The sequence below is a fragment of the Homo sapiens genome, chromosome 2, assembly GCF_000001405.40.
Source record: "Homo sapiens chromosome 2, GRCh38.p14 Primary Assembly".
Taxonomy (NCBI): domain Eukaryota; kingdom Metazoa; phylum Chordata; class Mammalia; order Primates; family Hominidae; genus Homo; species Homo sapiens.
The window spans coordinates 85,614,136-85,635,884 of NC_000002.12; the positions used below are offsets into that span (position 1 = coordinate 85,614,136).

A 21,749-nucleotide genomic window follows, 5' to 3' on the forward strand; every position below is an offset into this window, starting at 1 on the left:
TCAGACCCCAGCAGAGGGTTCTTGGATCTTGTGCAAGAAAGAATTCAGGGTGAGTCCACAGTGCAAAGTAAAAGCAAGTTTATTAAGAAAGTAAAGTAGCCAGGTGTCGCGGCTTATGCCTGTAATCCCTGCACTTTGGAAGGGGAGGCGGGCGGATCACTTGAGGTCAGCACTTCCATACCAGCCTGGCCAACATGGTGAAACTCTGTGCCTACTAAAAATACAAAAATTAGCCGGGCATGGTGGCAGGTGCATGTAATCCCAGCTACTCAGGAGTCTGAGGCAGGATAATCACTTGAACCCAGGAGGCAGAAGTTGCAGTGAGCCGAGATCTCACCAATGCACTCCAACCTGGGTGACAGAGCAAGACTCTGTATCAAAAAAATAAAATGTAAAGTAGTGAAAGTACAGCTACTCCATTGACAGAATAGGGCGTTCCTGAAAGTAAAAGGAGGAACGCATCCACCATGGCTACAATGCTTGTTTATATATAGGATAAAAAGATCATGGGGAGATGTGCTCTGCTACAAGGGTTTGTGATAAAGGATTAATTTTATTATTATATTTTGCAAGAAGAAATATTATCTTTAAAGCAAAATTAGGAATGCCTTTATTCTCCAGATATTGGGATATTAGGACACTCCCAAGTCTGGATCTGTTTAGTAAACATTATCTCTCTGTTCCCTTAACTGTAGACATCTCTAGGCTAGGAATACCTAACTTCCTGGGAATGCAGCCTGTCAAGGCCCAGCCTCATTTTCCTAACCCTCACTCAAGATGGAGTTGGTCTGGTTGAAACGCCTCTGACATATACCGCAAGTCAGAATTCAGTAAATTGCACACAGTGTGGTGTGGTGTGGTGTGGTGTGGTGTGGTGTGGTGTGGTGTGGTGTGGTGTGGGTATGACAGAGTTTCACTCTGGTTGCCCAGGCTGGAGTGCAATGGGGCGATCTCGGCTCATTGCAACCTCCGCCTCCCGGGTTCAAGCGATTCTCCTGCCTCAGCCTCCTAAGTAGCTGGGTTAACAGGCTCGTGCCACCACGCCCGGCTAATTTTTGTATTTTTAGTAGAGATGGGGTTTCACCATATTGGCCAGGCTGGTCTCCAGTCCTGACCTCAGGTGATCCGCCCGCCTTGGCCTCCCAAAGTGCTGGTATTATAGGCATGAGCCACAGCGCCTGGCCTAAATTGCACACTTTAAACATGTAGTTTGTTGTATGTCAATTATACCTCAATGGAACGGTTCAAACAAGCAAACAAGTTCAAGGCAGGTCCTGAGGTTAGAGCTTTATTAGCTTCATGGTAAATCTGCCTTTACCGGGCATTTGCGTTTTCATGGTACCAAGAACCTTCTAAAAGTAGAATTAGGGCTGTCAAGGGGATGATTTGGGAATGTCGCCTAGTTTTCCTGTGCAGGATTGTCAGCCCCCAAGCCGCGGAGACTGTGGGAAACGACCTCACGGTGGTGGTTTCGAGGCACAAATCTGGGGCCGAATGACAGCTTCTTTGTTTTTGAGACGGAGTTTCGCTCGTTGCCCAGGCTGGAGTGCAATGGCGCGATCTCGGCTCACCGCAACCTCCGCCTCCTGGGTTCAAGCGATTCTCCTGCCTTAGCCTCCCGAGTAGCTGGGATTACAGGCATGCGCCACAATGCCGGGCTAATTTTGTATTTTTAGTAGAGACGGGGTTTCTCCATGTTGGTCAGGTTGGTCTCGAACTCCCGACCTCAGGTGATCCACCCGCCTCGGCCTCCCAAAGTGCTGGGATTACAGGCGTAAGCCACCGCGCCCGGCCTGACAGCTTTTATCCAGAAAACTGTCGCCAGTAAAGGTTCCCGTCTCAGTAAACTGTAAACGACAGTAGGCCCACAGAAGGTTCTAAGGGGAGAGGAAGCCAGTGCAGGAACAGCACCGCCCACAAATTTTCTGCAGCGTGATTTGTCCCCAGTGGCGACTCGTAGAGAGTTCGGGGCTCGCTACCAGCCCCTCTCCTGATTGGCCTTGTGCCGCGCGCTCGAGCGTGCTTGGCGCCTGCGCTGGACGACTCGGCCGGTAGTGGAGATGTCCGGCCGGTCTAAGCGGGAGTCTCGCGGTTCCACTCGCGGGAAGCGAGAGTCTGAGTCGCGGGGCAGCTCCGGTCGCGTCAAGCGGGAGCGAGATCGGGAGCGGGAGCCTGAGGCGGCGAGCTCCCGGGGCAGCCCTGTGCGCGTGAAGCGGGAGTTCGAGCCGGCGAGCGCGCGCGAGGCCCCGGCTTCTGTTGTCCCGTTTGTGCGGGTGAAGCGGGAGCGCGAGGTCGATGAGGACTCGGAGCCTGAGCGGGAGGTGCGAGGTGCGCGGGGCCGGGCCGGGCTAGGCGCGAGAGCCTGTTTTTTTCGCGTCCTTTTTTCTTGTCTCTAATCTTCCGCTAGGTCACTGCGCCGGAGTTGGGGGAGGGGTGGGGTTGGGGTGGAGAAGAGGAGGGATCCAGACTCGACGATTCTGCTGTTCGACTTGTTCTGATGAAGACAGTACCCTTCTCAATAATCGTATAGTATTTCTTTTTTCTTTTTTTTTTTTTTTTTGAGATGGAGTCTCATTCTGTCACCCAGGATGGAGTGCAGTGGCGCGATCTCGGCTCACTGCAACCTCTGCCTCCCCGGTTCAAACGATTCTCCTACCTCCGCCTCCCAGGTAGCTGGGATTACAGGCGCCCACCACCGCTCCCGCCACCACGCCCGGCTAATTTTTTGTGTTTTTAGTAGAGAAGGGGGTTTCATCGTGTTAGCCAGGATGGTCTCGATCTCCTGACTTCGTGATCCGCCCGCCTCGGCCTCCCAAAGTGCTGGGATTACAGGCGTGAACCACCGTGCCCGGCCAAACGTATGGTATTTCTAACTGCAAAAATCGTAACAACAGCAGCTTCCCTTTATCGAATGCCCGATGTGGGGGCTCAGTGCTGATTTTACAAGTGTTACTTCCTTCCATTTTAAAAAAGAATTTTTTTTTTTTTTTTTGCGTTTTAAGAGAAGCAAGTCTCGCTATGTTGCCTAGGCTGGTCTCGAACTCCTGGACTCAAGTGTTCCACTCACCTCGGCCTCCCAAAGTGCTGGGTTTACAGGCGTGAGCCACCGTGCACGGCTTTCCTTCAGTTTTTACATCTAAGGTCTTGTAATTTCTGTAATCAAGATATTCAGAATGCTTGAGCAATAGGCACCTCTACTAAAGTATGGATTATGTAGCACTTTTTAAGCTGAATAAAGTCTGGAGACAATTTTCCATTAGTCTCTTGAGTTTGTGCACGTACTGCGACCATTGCCTGACTGCCTTTTCTCCTGGACTCTCGTTAAGGATGTTCGTGTAGTGAGCAGCCTTGGAAGATAGAAATGGTGTCTCCCTACAAAACGAGGAGACAAGGGCACAATCCCTTATAAAAGATTTGGGGCAGGGTGTGGTGGCTCACACCTGTAATCGCAGCTACTCTATAGGATGAGGTAGAGTTCAAGACTAGGATAGGCAACAGAGCGAGACCTCGTTTGAAAAAATGGTTAATGGTTCAGATTCTCTAAGCACGGGGTTCGTCTCCTGTAAGGCAGCTCACTGTGTGCATGGGTTCTCCTCACTTTGCCTTGTGGGAATTCACTTGGAAAACTGACACCAATGCTATATTCCGGCTACTGTCATTGCTCTAATAAACTGTCCTTTATTTCAGGCCAGGTAGTCACATGCTTTCCATCAGCATTCATAAAACTGTGACAGGCTAACTTGTTAGCTTGCGAGTAGGGTAAGATCTGAGACCCACTCAAGTTTTTGACAAGTGGTAGATTTATAGATACACATGTACATTCTTTTTTTTTTTTTTGAGACAGTTTCACTCTTGTTGTCCAGGCTGGAGTGCAATGGCACGATCTCAGCTCACTGCAACCTCTGCCTCCCAGGTTCAAGCAATTCTCCTGTCTCAGCCTCCCAAGTAGGCTGGGATTACACGTGCATGCCACCATGCCCGGCTAATTTTTGTATTTTTTAGTAGAGATGGGGTTTTATTATATTGGTCAGGCTGGCCTTGAACTCCTGACCTCAGGTGAGCCGCCTGCCTCTGCCTCCCAGAGTGCTGGGATTACAGGCATGAGCCACTCACCCAGCCACTCTTTAAACTACGTAGTACATTTGTGGCCGGGCGCAGTGGCTCACGCCTGTAATCCCAGCACTTTGGGAGGCCAAGGAGGGTGGATCGCAAGGTCAGGAGTTCGAGACCAGCCTGGCCAACATGGTGAAACCCCGTCTCTTCTAAAAGTATGAAAATTAGCTGGGTGTGGTGGCTTGTGCCTGTAGTCCCAGCTACTCGGGAGGCTGAGGCAGGAGAATTGCTTGAATCCGGGAGGCGGAGGTTGCTGTGAGCTGAGATCGCGCCATTGCACTCCAGCCTGGGGGACAGAGCGAGACTCCGTCTCAAAAAAAAAAAAACAAAAAAAAAACGAAACACACAACTATATGGTACATTTGTATTACAATTAGTTTATTTTAGTGCTTGTGACATATTTCATATTTTTCATGCTTTATGGGATTTCTTTATGTAAAATGCAAACAAATCTTCTGTTGATTTTATGTATACCAAATATATTCTCCCAGTTTGTGGCTTGTTCTATTAGTGGGCTTTTTTCTTTTCTTTTTTTTTTGAGAGGGAGTTTTGCTCTTGTCGCCCAGGCTGGAGTGCAGCGGTACGATCTCTGCTCACTGCAACCGCCTTCTCCCAGGTTCAAGCAATTATCCTGCCTCAACTTCCTGAATAGCTGGGATTACAGGCACCCACCACCATGCCTGGCTAATTTTTGTGTTTTTTGTAGAGACGGGGTTTCACCATAGTTGGCCAGGCTGGTCTTGAACTCCTGACCTCAGGTGATCCACCCATCTCGGTTTCCCAAAGTGCTGGGATTATAGGCATGAGCTACCGCGCCCGGCTAGTGGACTTTTTTTTCGATATTGTTGCCACCCAAACAATAGGAACTCATCTTGATTAGTTTTTCCCATTTCTGTTTCTTTTTTTGTTCTGTTAGTTGGCCCTGAGTATAGGTTTCCCATTTTCAAAGCCTGTGATGATTTTCCTTTCAGCAAAGAATGGCCGAGTGGATTCTGAGGACCGGAGGAGCCGCCACTGCCCGTACCTGGACACCATTAACAGGTCAGTAGGACAGAGATGCTGAGTATAGCACAAGAACAATGGAATCTGTGCAGAAAGTTTTTGGACTGTACAGTGAACAACACATTGACAAACTTTACTTTTTTTGAACCTGTCTAGAGAGTTGTGCTTCTTGCCATGTTACTCCTTATTCTTTGATTTAAAGTGTCAGAACACATGTTGTTAAAGAGCTTATTTTGCATTTGTATGTTGGGATAACAGGATGCATAGTATCCTAAAATAACAGTAGCACATTGAAATGTTTATGGAGTATCTAGTATGTGCTGGATACTATTTTGGGTGCCTGGGATTCAGCAGAAAAAAAACACAGAAATTTGTTTGAAAGCTGAGGTAGTTTACCTCATCATAGCATTCTTTTCTCTGATTCCCAGGTGGCATGTAGAATGTTTTTCAACCTATATTGTAGGGGAATGTTTTACAATAATATAATTACTCTTGTAAGAGCTGGGTGTGGTGGCCCACGCCTTTACTCAGCCCTTTGGCAGGCCAAGGCAGGAGGATCCCTTGAGGCCAGAAATTTGAGACCAGCCTGGTCAACATAATGAGACCCATCTTTTTTTTTTTGAGATGGAGTTTCATTTTTGTCCCCCAGGCTGGAGTGCAATGGCGCGATCTTGGCTTACTGCAACCTTCGCCTTCCAGGTTCAAGTGATTATCCTGCCTCAGCTTCCTGAGTAGCTGGGATTACAGGTGCCCGCCACCACGCCCAGCTAATTTTTGTATTTTTTTTAGAAGAGACGGGGTTTCATCATGTTGGCCAGGCTGACCTCAAACTCCTGAACTCAGGAGATCCACCTGCCTTGGCCTCCCAAAGTGCTGGGATTACAGGCATGAGCCACCACGCCCAGCCAACGAGACCCATCTTTTAAAAAAACTTAAAAAAAAAGTTATGGCCGGGTGCTCTGGCTCATGCCTGTAATCCCAGCACTTTGGGAGGCTGAGGCAGGCAGATTGCTTGAGCTCAGGAGTTTGAGCATCCTGGGCAGCATGGCAAAACTTCAGCTCTACAAAAAATAAAAAAATTAGCCAGGTGTGGTGGTGCACTCCTGTAGTCCCAGCTTCTTGGGGGGCTGAAGCAGGAGGATTGCTTGAACCTAGGAGGTTGAGGCTGCAGTGAGCTGAGATTGCGCCACTGTACTCCAGCCTGGATGACAAAGTGAGACCCTATCTCAAAAAAAAAAAACCAAAAAAGTTATAAGGGCTGTTCATTATGGTAGGCATGAGCCACCTGTGGCTTCAGTGGCTCCTGCAGTTGAAGAACTGAATTTTAAATTTTATTTAATTGAATTACAGTCAGCCTCAGTATCAGGATATGGAACCTGAAGGTACAAAGGGCCAGCTGTAAGGGGCTTGAACATTGTGGATTTTGGTATTTGAAGGGGTCCTAGAACCAGTGTCCTGTGGCTACTGAGGGACAGCTGTATTTTAAATTTAATTGTCAATAGCCACTTTGTCTAGTGGCCTCTAATAAATTAGACAGCATAGCTCTTTGGGATTATTATCGGTTAATTAAGAGTTACTATTTGAGAATAAATCTCTTTGTGGATTCAGTGGAGATAAGGTTTTTGTTCCTTACTGCCAGTACTCACTTTGCACTTGAATAAATAGGTCTGTTTATAGGTATTCTGAAATTCTTCAGGCTATTTGTTTTTATGGATAAAAATACATTTTTATTTTGTAATTAATTATTATTATTATTTGTTTTTAAGAGAGGATCCCACTCTGTATCCCAGTCTGGAGTGCAGTGGTGGATCAGAGCTCATTAGTCACAAACTCCTGGGCTTAAGTGATATGTTTTTCTTTTATGCAAGGATTTATTCACCCTTTTTATGTCCTCTCCACCTCCAGAATGCTGCTGGGGTACTGTTACCTTAGTCTAACTTGTAGCTTTCTCTCTAGAGAAAGTGACTGCAATGGAAAGTCCTGAACTGGTTACAAACACTAATGAGAAAGAGGCTCGTGGGTATTATGTGTCTGGTGGAGACACCTCAACAGTGCTTTGGAGCATGGCGGGTGGAGGTGAGGAATAATCAGTGTCCCCCATGGTGTATATATGGTTGTGAACTGTTTTCTGAAGGATGTTATGTGGTATCATGGGTCACAGAGCCAGCACTGCTTCATTTGCGTGCCTTCCTACATGTCCATCCTATTTATTTTTTTCTGTTTTGTTTCCTTAGGAGTGTGCTGGACTTTGACTTTGAGAAACTGTGTTCTATCTCCCTCTCACACATCAATGCTTATGCCTGTCTGGTGTGTGGCAAGTACTTTCAAGGTAAATAAGTTGTTAGAGCTAACTGCAGATCTGCTCCAGAGGGACTTTTTTTTTTTTTTTAAAGAAAGTAAGCTGTTCTCAGGAATCATATCTAATAATTTCTATTTGTTCCCAGGAAATTGAAATATTCTTAGAAAACCAATAAGAGGTTCTCTGACTGGTCAGAACCTGGATATGTCTGTAAGGGAGAAAGAGCTAGTCATATGAAAGACTGTAATCTTAAAGACTCTGGGTTCTCGAATCTCTAATATATGTATTTTTTTAATTTTTACTTTTTTAAAATTATTTTGAGACAGTGTTGCCCAGGTTGGCTCACTGCAACCTCCGCCTCCTGGGTTCAAGCAATTGTCCTGCCTCAGCCTCCAGAGTAGCTGAGATTACAGGCGCCTGCCACCATGCCTGGCTAATTTTTGTATTTTTAGTAGAAACGGGGTTTCACCATGTTGGCCAGGTTGGTCTTGAACTCCTGGCCGCAGGTGATCCACCTGTCTTGGCCTCCCACAGTGCTGGGATTACAGGCGTGAGCCACCGCGCCCGGCCTAATTTTTTTTTTTTTTAAGAGATGGAGTCTCACTCTGTCACCCAGGCTGCAGTGCAGTGACGTGATCTTGGCTCACTGCAGCCTCTTGACTCCCAGGTTCAAGTGATTCTCCTGCCTCAGCCTCCTGAGTAGCTGGGATTACAGGCATGCACCATCACACCCGGCTAATTTTAGTATTTTTTAGTAGAGAGGGGGTTTCACCATATTGGCCACACTGGTCTTGAACTCCTGACTTTAAGTGATCCATACTCCTCAGCCTCCCAAAGTGCTGGGATTACAGGCATGAGCCACCGTGCACGGCCACATTTTTTTAAAAGATGGGATTGTACTCTGTTGCCCAGGCTAGTCTTGAAATTCCTGAGCTCAAGCAGTGTGCTTGCCTGTACCTCCCAAAGTGCTGGGATTATAGATGTGAGCCATTGCACCCTGCTGTCTGGCTAATTATTTTATTTTATTTTTTTGTGGAGACAAGGCCTTATTATGTTACCCAGGCTACAATTTTTTTTTTTTTTTTGGAATATTCTTTAGCTCAAAGGACTTTTTTTATTCCATTTTTTTCTGAAAATTTATCATTTCAACTCATTCACACCAAGCAGATGCCATGTACATAGTATAGTGGAGGATTCAAATGAGGTAAAAACAGCTGGGCACAGTGGTTTACACACCTAATCCTAGCATTTTGGGAGGCCGAGGAGGAGGATTGTTTAAAGTCAAGAGTTCAAGACCCACCTGGCTAACATAGCAAGACCCTGTCTCAAAAAAAGAGATAAAAACTGTATTCTTTGCTCTCGTAAGGAGCTTATAAGGAGTCAAGGTTGACATGTAAAACAACCAGTGAGTTCTGTTAGATCATAAAGATTACTGCTGGACTGTGGCACGGAGTAAAAATAAGTGCAATAGGAGTTGAATGTGCAAAAATCAATGTTAGCTGGAGTGTTTATGTTGAGTTCATGGAAGAGCTGAGGTGGGACTTGAATTGGCAGGACATAGAATTTGAATGGTTAAGGGAGAGAGATTCTAGAAAGGAGTAGCAACATGAAAAAAGTTACATAGATAAAGCATTGTCCTGAATATGGGCATTTGGAAATCCAGGACTGAGTGATGATGGACTGTCATAGGATATGTATGTATTTATGTTTATGTGTATTTATGCACACATATATGCATAGATATTTCTAGTTTCATGTATATAGGAAACTATGTATGAATATATAGTTATATGTATTATATATAGATATATATATAGGTTATATATATTTTACATATATATTAAAAAATAGTGAAATTTGTTTCCCTAATCAATGTCTTAGGCCATTTAGAGAATGAAGTAACTAATGTGCTAGTCTTTCTTGCTAATTTTTTTATGAGAGAACTTCATGTGGAGGATTCATTTTATGAATGGCATAATATTTGTTTTTTGCGGATATTAACATGTTCCGGTAGAAAATAATGAAAGGAAAAGCAAACCTGATCTGTGTGTTCTAGTATCTGCCCTTCTATTACAGCTTTTCACCCTTCCCTACAGGCCGGGGTTTGAAGTCTCACGCCTACATTCACAGTGTCCAGTTTAGCCACCATGTTTTCCTCAACCTCCACACCCTCAAGTTTTACTGCCTTCCAGACAACTATGAGATCATCGATTCCTCATTGGAGGATATCACGGTGTGTGTCTAAGAGGGTTGGTTTGGGGTCCATTCTTTAATGAGCCATCCCAGGGCTCCCAGGGGACTGCCCCACCTGAGGACAGGGAAGAATCTCAGTCCCTTTAGGCATCGAGAGGCTGCTTTCTCTTTTGGGAAGAACTGGGGAAACTGAGTAAGGTCAGAATTCATAATTGCAGCCTGTAGTCTGTAACTTAACTGTCATTTCTACTTGTAACATTGAGGGCTAGGACTGAAGAAATATGGGTGTATTCTGATGGGGTTTAAAGTGTTTTTGTGAAATTATTCTTCTACACTGTGAAGTAGGGATATGAATTGGTCCTGGTGTAGGACAGTATTTACCAAGCTGCACACCGGCTCCTGGCTGCTTTTAACATACGCCGTGGCCAGAGCATCCAGCCACAGATATCTTATCTGTGGGCTCTAGTTTGTGACCTGTGCCAAGAGACACTCATTGTACTGAGCATGGAAAGTCCTCTTGGGTTTGATTAGTGTTGGGCTTTTGATTATTATTTTCCTTTTCAGCACGTGGGGTGTATTCATGGTGCCATGTGCTCTGTTCTTGTTTTTGGTTTTTTTTTTGAGACAGGGTCTCACTTTGTCGCTCAGGCTGGAGTGCAGTGGTGCCATCACAGCTCACTGCAGCCTCGACCTCATGGGTTCAAGTGATACTTTTACTTCAGCTTCCCAAGTAGCTAGGACTGTAGGCGTTACCATCATGCCCAGATACATTTTTAAAATTTTTTGTAGAGATGGAGTCTCACTGCATTGCCTAAGTTGTTCATGCTCTGTTTATTTTTAAGGAAAACGTGGTATTTAGTCTTTGAAATACTGCTTTTTCTACTTGTAAAAGTTGTATAAGCCTATTATTAATAGTTGAGATTAAAATAGTTATGGACAGGCTTGGTGGGGAGGCCCACACCTGTAATCCCAGCACTTTGGGAGGCCGAGGCAGGTGGGTCATTTGAGGTCAGGAGTTTGAGACCAGCCTGACCAACATGATGAGACCCCGTTTCTACTAGAAATACAAAATTAGCCGGGCATGATGGCACATGCCTGTAATCCCAGCTACTTGGGAGGCTGAGGCAGGAGAGTTGCTTGAATCTGGGAGGGGGAGGTTGCAGTGAGCCAAGATCATGCCATGGCACTCTAGTCTAGGCAACAAGAGCAAAACTCCATCTAAAAAAAAAAAAAAAAGTTATGGTCAGTATTTATAGAGGGAAAAACTGGGCTAAATTCAGTGTTTCAAAGTGAGTTTGCGATGATCTCTGTCCAGTCTGTGACATAATGACTGTGGTAACTCTGTGCCTGGGAAGAGTCTGATCCTGCTCTTCCAGTACCAGGGACTCATGGAGATCCTCATTCCCACCCAGAGTGGAGGAAACTCTCCTGCTCCAAAGCTAGGTCCATGTGCTGCTCCCAGGAGGTTCTATCTGAGACTTAGACTGCCTTTAGGAACTTGAGTATTGTATGGTTTCTGGCAGTCAGTTTTCATGAGTTGACCAGACCTGAGGTCGGCGAAAAGACCTGGGATTCAGTGATTTTGGGATAGACACAGAGATCCCCTTGTAGATTAGCCATGGGAGAGGATCTACTCCGTGTTACTTCAATCTTTACACCTACTGGTTCGGACTATTTTTCTGTGTGTGGTGGGATGTTCATGGCCAAGTGTTTTTTGTTTTTGTAGAAATTACTGTTACAGACATTTCTTGTGAACTCAGCTCTTAAACAACTTAGCATTTTCTTTTGCTTTGCAGTATGTGTTGAAGCCCACTTTCACAAAGCAGCAAATTGCAAACTTGGACAAGCAAGCCAAATTGTCCCGGGCATATGATGGTACCACTTACCTGCCGGGTATTGTGGGACTGAATAACATAAAGGCCAATGATTATGCCAACGCTGTCCTTCAGGTAAGATCAAGACGGGAACATTGAGGAAGAGAAGGACACCCAGAAGGCTGAGCACAGTGGCTCACCCCTGTAATCCCAGCACTTTGGGAGGCCAAGGCAGGCGGATTGCCTGAGGTCAAGAGTTTGAGCCAGCCTGGCCAACATGGAGAAACCCTGTCTCTACTAAAAATACAAAAATTAGCTAGATATGGTGGTGGAAGCCTGTAGTCCCAGCTATTTGGCAGGCTGAGGTGGGAGAATCGCTTGAATCCGGGAGGCAGAGGTTATAGTGACCCGAGATCGCGCCACTGCACTCCAGCCTGGGGAACAGTGAGACTCTGTTTCAAGAAAAAAAAAAGAGAGGGACAGGAAATAGTATGTGTACTGGCCAAGAAATTACTGCCTTCGGCCAGGCGCAGTGGCTCATACCTGTAATCCCAGCACTTTGGGAGGCCAAGGCGGGAGGATCACCTGAGGTCAGGAGTTCGAGACTAGCTTGGCCAACATGGAGAAACCCCATCTCTACTAAAAATACAAAATTAGCCGGGCTTGGTGGTGCATGCCTGTAATCTCAGCTATTCGGGAGGCTGAGGCAGGAGAATCACTTGAACCCAGGAGGCGGAGGTTGCAGTGAGCTGAGATCACGTCACTGCACTCCAGCCTGGGCAAGAAGAGCGAAACTCCTCCGTCTCAAAAAAAGAAATTACTGCCTTCTTGTAGAGTATAGTCAGATGATCCTCAGACACCAAGTCTTGCTAAGGACTCTACTTGAGTAATTGTTCTGCAACAGGCAGAGCATTCCTTTGCTCACTGGGCTGCTGTCAAATGGTGAGGCTTTTTCTAGCCTCTGGCTCATGGCATCTGGAACTTCAGGGAATGAGGGACCGAATCTGTGTTGCCTTGCAGTATCAAGTAAGAAACATGCCAGATGCATTTTTTTAAAAAAATGGTGTAGATATTTGTTGTGCTGGCTGATCAATGACTTTTTCCTGCCCATGTGCTCATAACCCTGAAATTGGAAAGGCAGAAAACCAAAGCTGTCCTATTTTCTTTTTTTTTTTTTTTGAGACGGAGTCTCAGTCTGTTGCCCAGGCTGGAGTGTAGTGGCGCAATCTCAGCTCACTGCAACCTCTGCCTCCCAGGTTCAAGCGATTCTCCTGCTTCAGCCTCCCGAGTAGCTGGGATTACAGGCGCCTGCCACTGTGCCTGGCTAAGTTTTGTAGAGACAGGGTTGTAGTAGAGTTTTAGTAGTTTTAGTTTTAGAGACAGGGTTTCACCATTTTGGCCAGGCTGGTCTTGAACTCCTGACCTCGTGATCCACCTGCCTCGGCCTCCCAAAGTGTTGGGATTACAGGCATGAGCCACCGTGCCCATCCCTTATTTTCAATTAAAAGTTGTTTTTAAGAAAATTTTATGAGTAATAGGTGCATACTGTAGAAATTTTTTTTTTTAGAGGGAGTCTGTCACCCAGGCTGGAATGCAGTGGCATGATCTTCGTTCACTGCAACCTCTGCTCCCCAGGTTCAAGTGATTCTTCTGCCTTAGCCTCCTGAGTAGCTGGGATTACAGATGCCTGCCACCACACCCGGCTAATTTTTGTATTTTTAGTAGAGATGGGGTTTCACCATGTTGGCCAGGCTGGTCTTGAACTCCTGACCTCGTGGTCCACCCGCCTGAGCTTCTGAAAGTGCTGGGATTACAGGTGTGAGCCACCATGCCCAGCCAATTTTTAAATGTTGGTAAGTATAATAAGAAAACAATAATCCTACTTCACCAAGAAAATGATTAAAAAATCATAAACACAGGCTTATTGGGGAAAACATGTATAAATTGTAAGGGGCTGGGCATGGTGGCTCATGCCTCTAATCCCAGCACTTTGGGAGGCCAAGGTGGCAGGGTCCCTTGAGGCCAGTAGTTTGAAATCAGCCTGGCAACATAGCGAGACCCTGTCTCTATTTAAAAAAAAAAAAAAAAATTAGCTGGGCACAGTGGTGCATGCATGCCTGTGGTCCTAGCTGTTTGGGAGGCTGAGGTGGGAGGATCCCTTCAGCCCAGGAGTTCGAGGCTGTTGGAGAAGTTTGAGGACTTTGAAAAGTGCAGGCATTACAGGTGTGAGCCACTGCACCTAGCCTTGGATCACTTCTAAAGTTAATTATTTGTATTTTTTTCTTGAGTTATTGGGCCTTACAGACTCCTTTCCTATTGGTTCGTCTTACTGAGCTTTAAGAAATATATGATAAAGTTCTTCCCTTTTCTGTTGCATATGTTGCACATGTTTTCTGCTAGTTCTTATTTGGCCTTTAAATTTTTTAAGTGATATTTTTGCCATGAAGAATTGGACAAAAAACTGTAAAGGCATATTTTTTACATTCAGTGTCTGCTCTTGGTGTCATGCCTAGTCTCTGGAAAGGTCAAATTCTTAAGTAGAGAGACTTTTCATCAGATCGTTCCTCTTAAATCCTCTCATGGCTGCGTGAAAACTGATTTTTTTTTGAGATGGAGTCTCGCTCTGTCACCCAGGCTGGAATGCAGTGTCACAATCTCAGCTCACTGCAACCTCTGCCTCCCAGGTTCAAGCGATTCTCCTGCCTCAGCCTCCCGAGTAGCTGGGACTACAGGTGCGTGCCACCATGCCTAGCTAATTTTTTGTATTTTTAGTAGAGACGGGGTTTCATTGTGTTAGCCAGGATGGTCTCGATCTCCTGACTTCGTGATCTGCTCGCCTCGGCCTCCCAAAGTACTGGGATTACAGGTGTGAGCCACCGCGCCCTGCCGAGTGAAAACCATTATAGGATGGACAGATAGAATTTGGATTTGGTCAGAGCTGTTAGTCTTGGCTTTCTGATGAATTTTAGATCGCATAGGAAGTTCTCTTTATAAAAATAAATGGATTAACAAACCCTGTGTGATGATGTTTCCACTAAAATAGGGTTGACTGGACCAGATCATCCATCTGGAGGGTGGATAATTCTTCTCTGAGGATGACCAATATTATTTATATTGTTGCTGAGGCCAGAGTGCAACCTTTTCTCCACAAGATAGACAACTGAGAATTAGGATAAACTTTGTCCATCCTCTTGTTTTGAGAGTAAATCTCTCTTTTTAGTAATTATTCTACAAACAGGAAGTCCTTGTTTCTTTAGCTGAGCTTAGCTTGTCGGGGCTTTCCTAATCCCCTCTGTGGTTAAAGTGCTCTCTGTGTTCTGAGTTGTCTTCCTTAGAGGTGCCTGGGTTATTACATTTAGCAGAAACCCTTCTAGCTGACTCCCTGAATGGATGACCTTGTTTAAGAAAGAAATGTGTTCATGGTAAGCACAGTGCTGGTCGGGAAGGACCTGTGGGGATACTGCATTTTTATTTAGGGTGTCTTTGGTCCTCTTCCTCCCAGTTTCGTTTTGTTTTGTTTTTTTGAGATGGAATTTTGCTCTTTTTGCCTAGGCTGGAGTGCAATGGCGCGATCTTGGCTCGCTGCAACCTCTGCCTCCCGGGTCTAAGTGATTCTCCTGCCTCAGCCTCCCGAGAAGCTGGAATTACAGGCACTCACCACCACACCCAGCTAATTTTGTATTTTTAGTAGAGACGGTTTCACCATGTTGGCCTGGCAGGTCTTGGACTCCTGACCTCAAGTGATCCGCCCACCTTGGCCTCCCAAAGTGCTGGGATTATAGACGTGAACCATCGCGCCTAGACCCCTCCTCCCAGTTTTGTAGCTCAGGCTGATGAGCCTGTGTTTCTTCCTGAAATTAATACGGCTAGTTTTTATCTTTCTGCTTAATGAGATACAATTTGTTTTTATTGTCCTAAACCTTTTGACCATTTTCTCTTTCTCTTTTTTTTTTTTTTGAGACGGAGTTTTGCTCTTGTTGTCTAGGCTGGAGTGCAGTGGTGCCATCTTGGCTCACTGCAACCTCCGCCTCCCGGGTTCAAGTGATTCTTCTGCCTCAGCCTCCTGAGTAGCTGGGATTACAGGCGCGTGCCACCATGCCCTGCTAATTTTTGTATTTTTAGTAGAGACGGGGTTTCACCATGTTGGCCAGGCTGGTCTTGAACTCCTGACCTCAGGTGATCCTCCCACCTTGGCCTCCCAAAGTGCTGGGATTACAGGCATGAGCCACCTCGCCTGGCCGACCATTTTCCGTCATAACAGAGTATATTTACTTTTTAAAAAAAATTTTGGCTGGGCATGGTGGCTTAGGCATGAGAATTGCTTGAACCCTGGAGGCAGAGGTTGCAGTGAGCCAAGATCGTGCCACTGCACTCCAGCCTGGGGGATGGAGCAAGACTCGGTCTCCAAAAATAAAAAAAAAATTTCAGTAGGTTTTTGGGGAACAGGTGGTTTTTGGTTACATGAATAAGTTCTTTAGTGGTGATTTCTGAGATTTTGGTCACCCATCACCCAAGCAGTGTATACTGTACCCAGTGTGTAGTCTTTTATCCCTCACCACCCCCCACACTCTTTCCCCCAAGTCCCCAAAGATCATTGTATTGTTCTTACACCTTTGCGTCCTCACAGCTCCCTATATTTACTTTTATGTACAATTATATGGTTTTAGTATGGGAAAACATCACATTTTAAGATAATTTTCATATTATTTTAGTGTGGAGTTGAGAGATGGGAGAACTGTGTTTCCTAGGTAGTTATTTTTGCTTCAACCAAAATGGATGATGAAGGAAAGAGTATTTGGATTATAGCCTTCTGCCTTATGAATTTAAGTATTGTCACAGCATAATTAGAGTAACAAAAGGAAATTGTTGAATAAGTTGATAGAGATTTGAATACCTGTGTTTTGTTTTGTTTTGTTTTAACCTTCTTTGTGGTATCCACATCAGCAAAGTTGTCTGCAGAACTGTAGTTCGTATGAAACTCAACGTTAATGATATTTCTGTGATGTGAGCCTGGGTAGGATTCTCCAAGGGTCCATTTACTTTTGGCTCTTTAAGGCCATCACAGGCACATCACAAATTCTATTAGGAGAACTTTAATTGGAAGAGCTTGGCTCAAGGGGTCCTACAAAGGGGCTTTGGGTTAATCGGAGTGTTTGATTTTTAGGCTCTATCTAATGTTCCTCCTCTCCGGAACTACTTTCTGGAAGAAGACAATTATAAGAACATCAAACGTCCTCCAGGGGATATCATGTTCTTGTTGGTCCAGCGTTTTGGAGAGCTGATGAGAAAGCTCTGGAACCCTCGAAATTTCAAGGCACATGTGTCTCCCCATGAGATGCTTCAGGCAGTTGTACTTTGCAGTAAGAAGACTTTTCAGATCACCAAACAAGGTAAGAACAAGTCATTCATGTTTCAGGACAACAAAACTAGTTTGATGAACAAATTTATTTCCACTTGGCAGTGAATTTTTTTTTTTGAGATGGAGTCTCACTCTGTCACCCAGGCTGGAGTACAATGGCATGGTCTCAGCTCACTGCAACCTCCACTTCCAGGGTTCAAGCGATTCTCCCGCTTCAGCCTCCCAAGTAGCTGGGACTATAGGCACGCACCACCACGCCCGGCTAATTTTTGTATTTTTAGCAGAGATGGGGTTTCACTATGTTGGCCAGGCTGATCTCGAACTCCTGACCTCTTGATCCACCCTACTCGGCCTCCCAAAGTGCTGGGGATTACAGGCATGAGCCACTGCGCCCGGCCTTTTTTTTTTTTTTTTTTTTAAGAGACAGTCTTGCTCTTTTGACCAGGCTGGAGTGCAGTGGCGGGACTTGTAGCTCACTGCAGCCTTGAACTTCTGGACTCAAGGGATCCTCTTGCCTCAGCTTCAAGTAGCTATGATTACAGGCATGAGCCACTGTGCCCAGCTGCAGTGAATCTTGAGAGTAGCCAGGAGTGTCCAGTGGATAGTGTGGTTAGGTTCTTCATTCTTCTCTGACCAATCTGCCCTGCTAAGAGTCCCAGGAGATTCTAGCTGAATAGAAAGTCGGTCTTATTTGGTAAATTAAACTGTATGGCTTAGGGAAATACCAGGAGGCTGGGAAAGACACTAGCTTTTATTAAACACCTGTCACCTATCTTCATTCTTTCGTGTCCCACATTAGGGTATTCTGATGATATTTTTGTTTTGTTTTGTTTTGTTTTGTTTGTTTTTTTGAGACCGAGTCTTGCTTCATTGCCCAGGCTGGAGTGCAGTGGTGTGATCTCTGCTCACTGCAACCTCTGCCTCCTGGGTTCAAGGGATTCTCCTGCCTCAGCCTCCCAAGTAGCTGGGATTACAGGTGCCCGCCAACATGCCCAGCTAATTTTTGTATTTTTAGTAGAGAGGGGGTTTCACCATGTTGGCCAGGTGAACTCCTGACCTCAAGTGATCCACCCGCTTCGGCCTCCCAAAGTGTTGGGATTACGGGTGTGAGCCACTGCGCCCGGCCTCTGATGAACTATTTTGACTGTTTTTTTCTCTCCAAACCCAATTTGTTACTGTCTTATGAGTAAAGCGGACAGTGTAACTTTGTACCTGAATCTCATATGGTATCCTCTAGCATCTGTATTAGTTTATTCAGCATTCACTCATGGTGCTAGGTTTTAGAGCAGCAGGGATAAGAAACACGATTTTTCTCTTTGAAGAACTCCCAGTCTGGTGGGGAAATAGTTATGTAGAAAGGTTGAGTGTGCTGGCAGAAGCCTGTGGTCTGAGCTACTTGGGAGGCTGAGGCAGGAGTATTGCTTGAGCCCAGGAGTTCAAGGCTACAGTGAGCTATGATTACACCACTGCACTCCAGCTGGGGAACGGAGGAAGACCCTGTCTTTAAAAATCAATAAGCAAATTTCAACTATCTTTTTTTTTTTTTTTTTGAGACAGAGTCTTGCTCTGTTGCCCAGGCTGGAGTGCAATGGTGTGATCTCGGCTCGCTGCAACCTCCGCCTCCTGGGTTCAGGTGATTCTTCTGACTCAGCCTCCCAAGTAGCTGGGCCTACAGGTGCGTGCCACCATGCCCAGCTAATTTTTTTGTATTTTTAGTAGAGACAGGGTTTCATCGTGTTAGCCAGGCAGGTCTCGAGCTCCTGACCTTGTGATCTGCTCACCTCAGCCTCCCAAAGTGCTGGGATTACAGGCGTGAGCCACCACGCCCGGCTCAACTATCTTTTTTAAGAAAAGGTAATTACAGGTGTTAAGTGCTGTGCTATGGGAGGGGAGCATGGAGTAAGGACCCCCTCAGCTGAACATGTGGGAGGTAGATCAGAGATCAGAGTGGAGGAAGAGACCCTGAGTTTTAGGTAGAGGTGGAGGCAGGTTGGGATGGGGAGTAGGCATTCTAGGTAGAGAGGACATGGTGGGCAGAAGAGAAAAGTGCCTGGCATAGTCAGAGACTGCAAGTAGCTGGACCCTTGGACTCCTGGGGTCAGTGGAGAGCCAAGGTGTAGATCCTGAGGGAGGGACCAGATGGCCTGCTTTATAAGCTACCATAAGGAGCTTGGATTATATCCTGAAAAAAGCTGGAGTCATTGAAGGCTTTTATTTTTTTTTGAGATAGAGTCTCACTCTGTTGCCCAAGCTGGAGTGCAGTGGTGTGATCTCGGCTCACTGCAACCTCTGTCTCCCCAGTTCAAGCTATTCTGCCGCCTCAGCCTCCCGAGTAGCTGGGACTACAGGCACCCACCACCATACCTGGCTAATTTTTTGGTATTTTTAGTAGAGACGGAGTTTCACCACGTTGGTCAGGCTGGTATCGAACTCCTCACCTCAGGTGATCCACCCGCCTCGGCCTCCCAAAGTGCTGGGATTACAGGTGTGAACCACCATGCCCGGCCTCATTGAAGGCTTTTAACAAAGATGTGACATCAGACTTATGAATTTGTTTTTAAAACATTATTCCAGCTGGGCATGGTCACTCAAACCTGTAATCCCACCACTTTGGGAGATCAAGGTGGGTGGATTGCTTGAGCCCAGGAGTTAGAGACCATCCTGCGTGACATAGACCCTATATCTACAAAAAATTTTTAAAAATTACCCAGGCATGGTGGCATGTACCTGTAGTCCAGCTACTTGAGAGGCTGAGGTTGGAGGATCGCTTGGGCCTAGGAGGTAGAGGCTTCAGTGAGCCATGTTGGTCCCACTGTACTCCAGCCTGGACAACAGAGTGAGACCTCTGTCTGTAAAATAAAAAGAAAAACATTATTCTGGCTGAGGATTGACTTAGAGGGGACGTCGAGTAGTGGCTTTTTTTTTTTTTTTTTTTTTTTTGAGACAGAGTCTCGCTCTGTTGCCCAGGCTGGAGTGCAGTGGCGGGATCTCGGCTCACTGCAAGCTCCGCCTCCCGGGTTCACGCCATTCTCCTGCCTCAGCCTCCCAAGTAGCTGGGACTACAGGCGCCCGCCACTACGCCCGGCTAATTTTTTGTATTTTTAGTAGAGACGGGGTTTCACCGTTTTAGCCGGGATGGTCTCGATCTCCTGACCTCGTGATCCGTCCGCCTCGGCCTCCCAAAGTGCTGGGATTACAGGCGTGAGCCACCACGCCCGGCCGAGTAGTGGCTTTTAAGAGTCTCTGGTACTTAAGGAGAAATAGGAGGAATCAAGGTGGTAAGGAATGGGGCCCATGGAGCACTTGTTTCAGGGTTAGTAGGAAATAAGATACACTTCGGGTTGGTTACAACATGGCCAATGAAATCTTAATCTGGGGCCAGGCGCGCTGGCTCATGCCTGTAATCCCAGCACTTTGGGAGGCCGAAGTGGGAGGATTGCTTGAGCCCAAGAGTTCAAGACCAGCTTGAGGAACATAGTGAGACTCCCTCTCGACAAAAAATGTAAAAGTTAGCCGGGCATGATGGCACACGCCTGTAGTCCCAGCTACTTGGGAAACTGAGGTGGAAGGATTCCTTGGGCCTGGGAGGCAGAGCTTGCAGTGAGCTGAAGTTGCATCACTGCACTCCAGCCTGGGTGACAGAGTGAGACGCTGTGTCGCGAAGAAAAAATCTGGGTGCCTCACCCTTCTAAACAGGTGACAGCCTGTTTGTGTGCTTTGTAGGACCATCTAATTCCCAAGAACTAGGTGGCTAGGTTATCTTGTGTTTATAGAGACATTTCTGTTTCTGGACCAACTCCCTGAGCTCCCAGGGTTTTATATTAAGGCTGCAAGAAAGGAAGAAATTTGTGTTGAGAATGATTTTTTTGTGGACCATGAATGGATGGATGAGTGTCAGCATTCACTGTGTTCCACAGGTGACTTATGGCCTGAAGGTGGATAGTGGGGCCTGTCAGCTTTTGGCAGCTTGGAAAGTTAGGGCATAATTGGGTTGTAGAGTTGCAGAAAAACCAGGGTACCCTGAGAATCAACGTGTCTAGTTTCTTCTGTCATAGCCACTATTGGCTAGGATAGTTATGATGTCACATAAACATAATTTCCTCCATCTCTGAGACCTAGTAGGTTATTAGTTGCCGAGTGTTTAGATGTGTGAAGTGTTTCTTGCTGTGGTAGTTTGTTACATAAGAGCATTCTGTGTACAGGGAATAAAAAGAAAATCATTCTATGGAGTTGTTAGAGGCCTCTGGGTTTAGGGAAATGAAGTTGAGGAAGATATACTATAGTCTTTGAGATTTTAATTGCGTGAGCAAAGAGGAACTAAATAGAAGCAAATCTTCGTTGAAGAGAAAGTAGTCATTATCTGGCTGGGCGCAGTGGCTCATGCCTGTAATCCCAGTACTTTGGGAGGCTGAGGCGGGAGGATCACTTGAGGTCAAGAGTTCGAGACCGGCCTGGCCAACATGGTGAAGCCCCGTCTCTACTAAAAATACAAAAATTAGCTGGGCATGGTAGCAGGCACCTGTAATCCCAGCTACTCAGGAGACTGAGGTGGGAGAATCGCTTGAACCCAGGAGGCGGAGGTTGCAGTGAGCTGAGATCATGCCACTGCACTCCAGCCTGGGCGACAGAGTGAGACTCTGTCTCAAAAAAAAAAGTAGCCACTATCCCTGAAATGTCTGAGTGGCAGGTTCCGTAGACAGCATTTTCATGGAATATTGTCAATCTGCTTTCAGAACCCCTTGTTCTGTATGCCTTTTCAGTCTGGGTGCTAGTCACTTTCCTAAAAGACAGGAATCTTCATGAGCTGCAGAAGGGAAGAAGGAAGTTTGAGCTCACTCTGGAGAAAAGTGGATGTTAAAAGGTCATATTCATTTGTTTTGGTCATCACTGAGTGATGCGATACAGTCCTGGTATGAATCAGAGAGCCTATGGAGAGAGTCAAGATCGGAGGAGTGAGAGCTTGACCTTG

At 46.0% G+C, this 21,749-nt stretch overlaps 1 protein-coding gene across 9 annotated transcripts in view, besides 2 other annotated features; it reads left to right on the forward strand.

Moving 5' to 3' along the window:
- Positions 1-21,749, forward strand: part of USP39 (ubiquitin specific peptidase 39) — a 46,423-nt gene that overhangs the window by 11,275 nt on the left and 13,399 nt on the right. For 4 of the 9 annotated variants that reach the window (NM_006590.4, NM_001256725.2, NM_001256726.2 and 1 more), the window contains exons 1-6: positions 2,051-2,328; positions 5,085-5,154; positions 7,350-7,444; positions 9,511-9,647; positions 11,404-11,556; positions 16,586-16,811. In NM_006590.4, coding sequence (NP_006581.2) covers positions 2,061-2,328; positions 5,085-5,154; positions 7,350-7,444; positions 9,511-9,647; positions 11,404-11,556; positions 16,586-16,811 — 949 coding nt within the window. In that variant the 5' untranslated portion in view covers positions 2,051-2,060. Of the gene's footprint in view, positions 1-2,050; positions 2,329-5,084; positions 5,155-7,349; positions 7,445-9,490; positions 9,648-11,403; positions 11,557-16,585; positions 16,812-21,749 lie in introns of those variants that run through there. The other 5 variants (XM_006711922.3, NM_001256727.2, XM_047442988.1 and 2 more) reach the window with 3 other exon arrangements.
- Positions 1,715-1,764: an enhancer, noted in NCBI's record as "active region_16135". NCBI's record gives its function as "activates an Ori minimal core promoter by ATAC-STARR-seq in GM12878 lymphoblastoid cells {active_cell/tissue: GM12878}" and the evidence as "EXISTENCE:reporter gene assay evidence [ECO:0000049][PMID:35858748]".
- Positions 1,795-1,844: an enhancer, noted in NCBI's record as "active region_16136". NCBI's record gives its function as "activates an Ori minimal core promoter by ATAC-STARR-seq in GM12878 lymphoblastoid cells {active_cell/tissue: GM12878}" and the evidence as "EXISTENCE:reporter gene assay evidence [ECO:0000049][PMID:35858748]".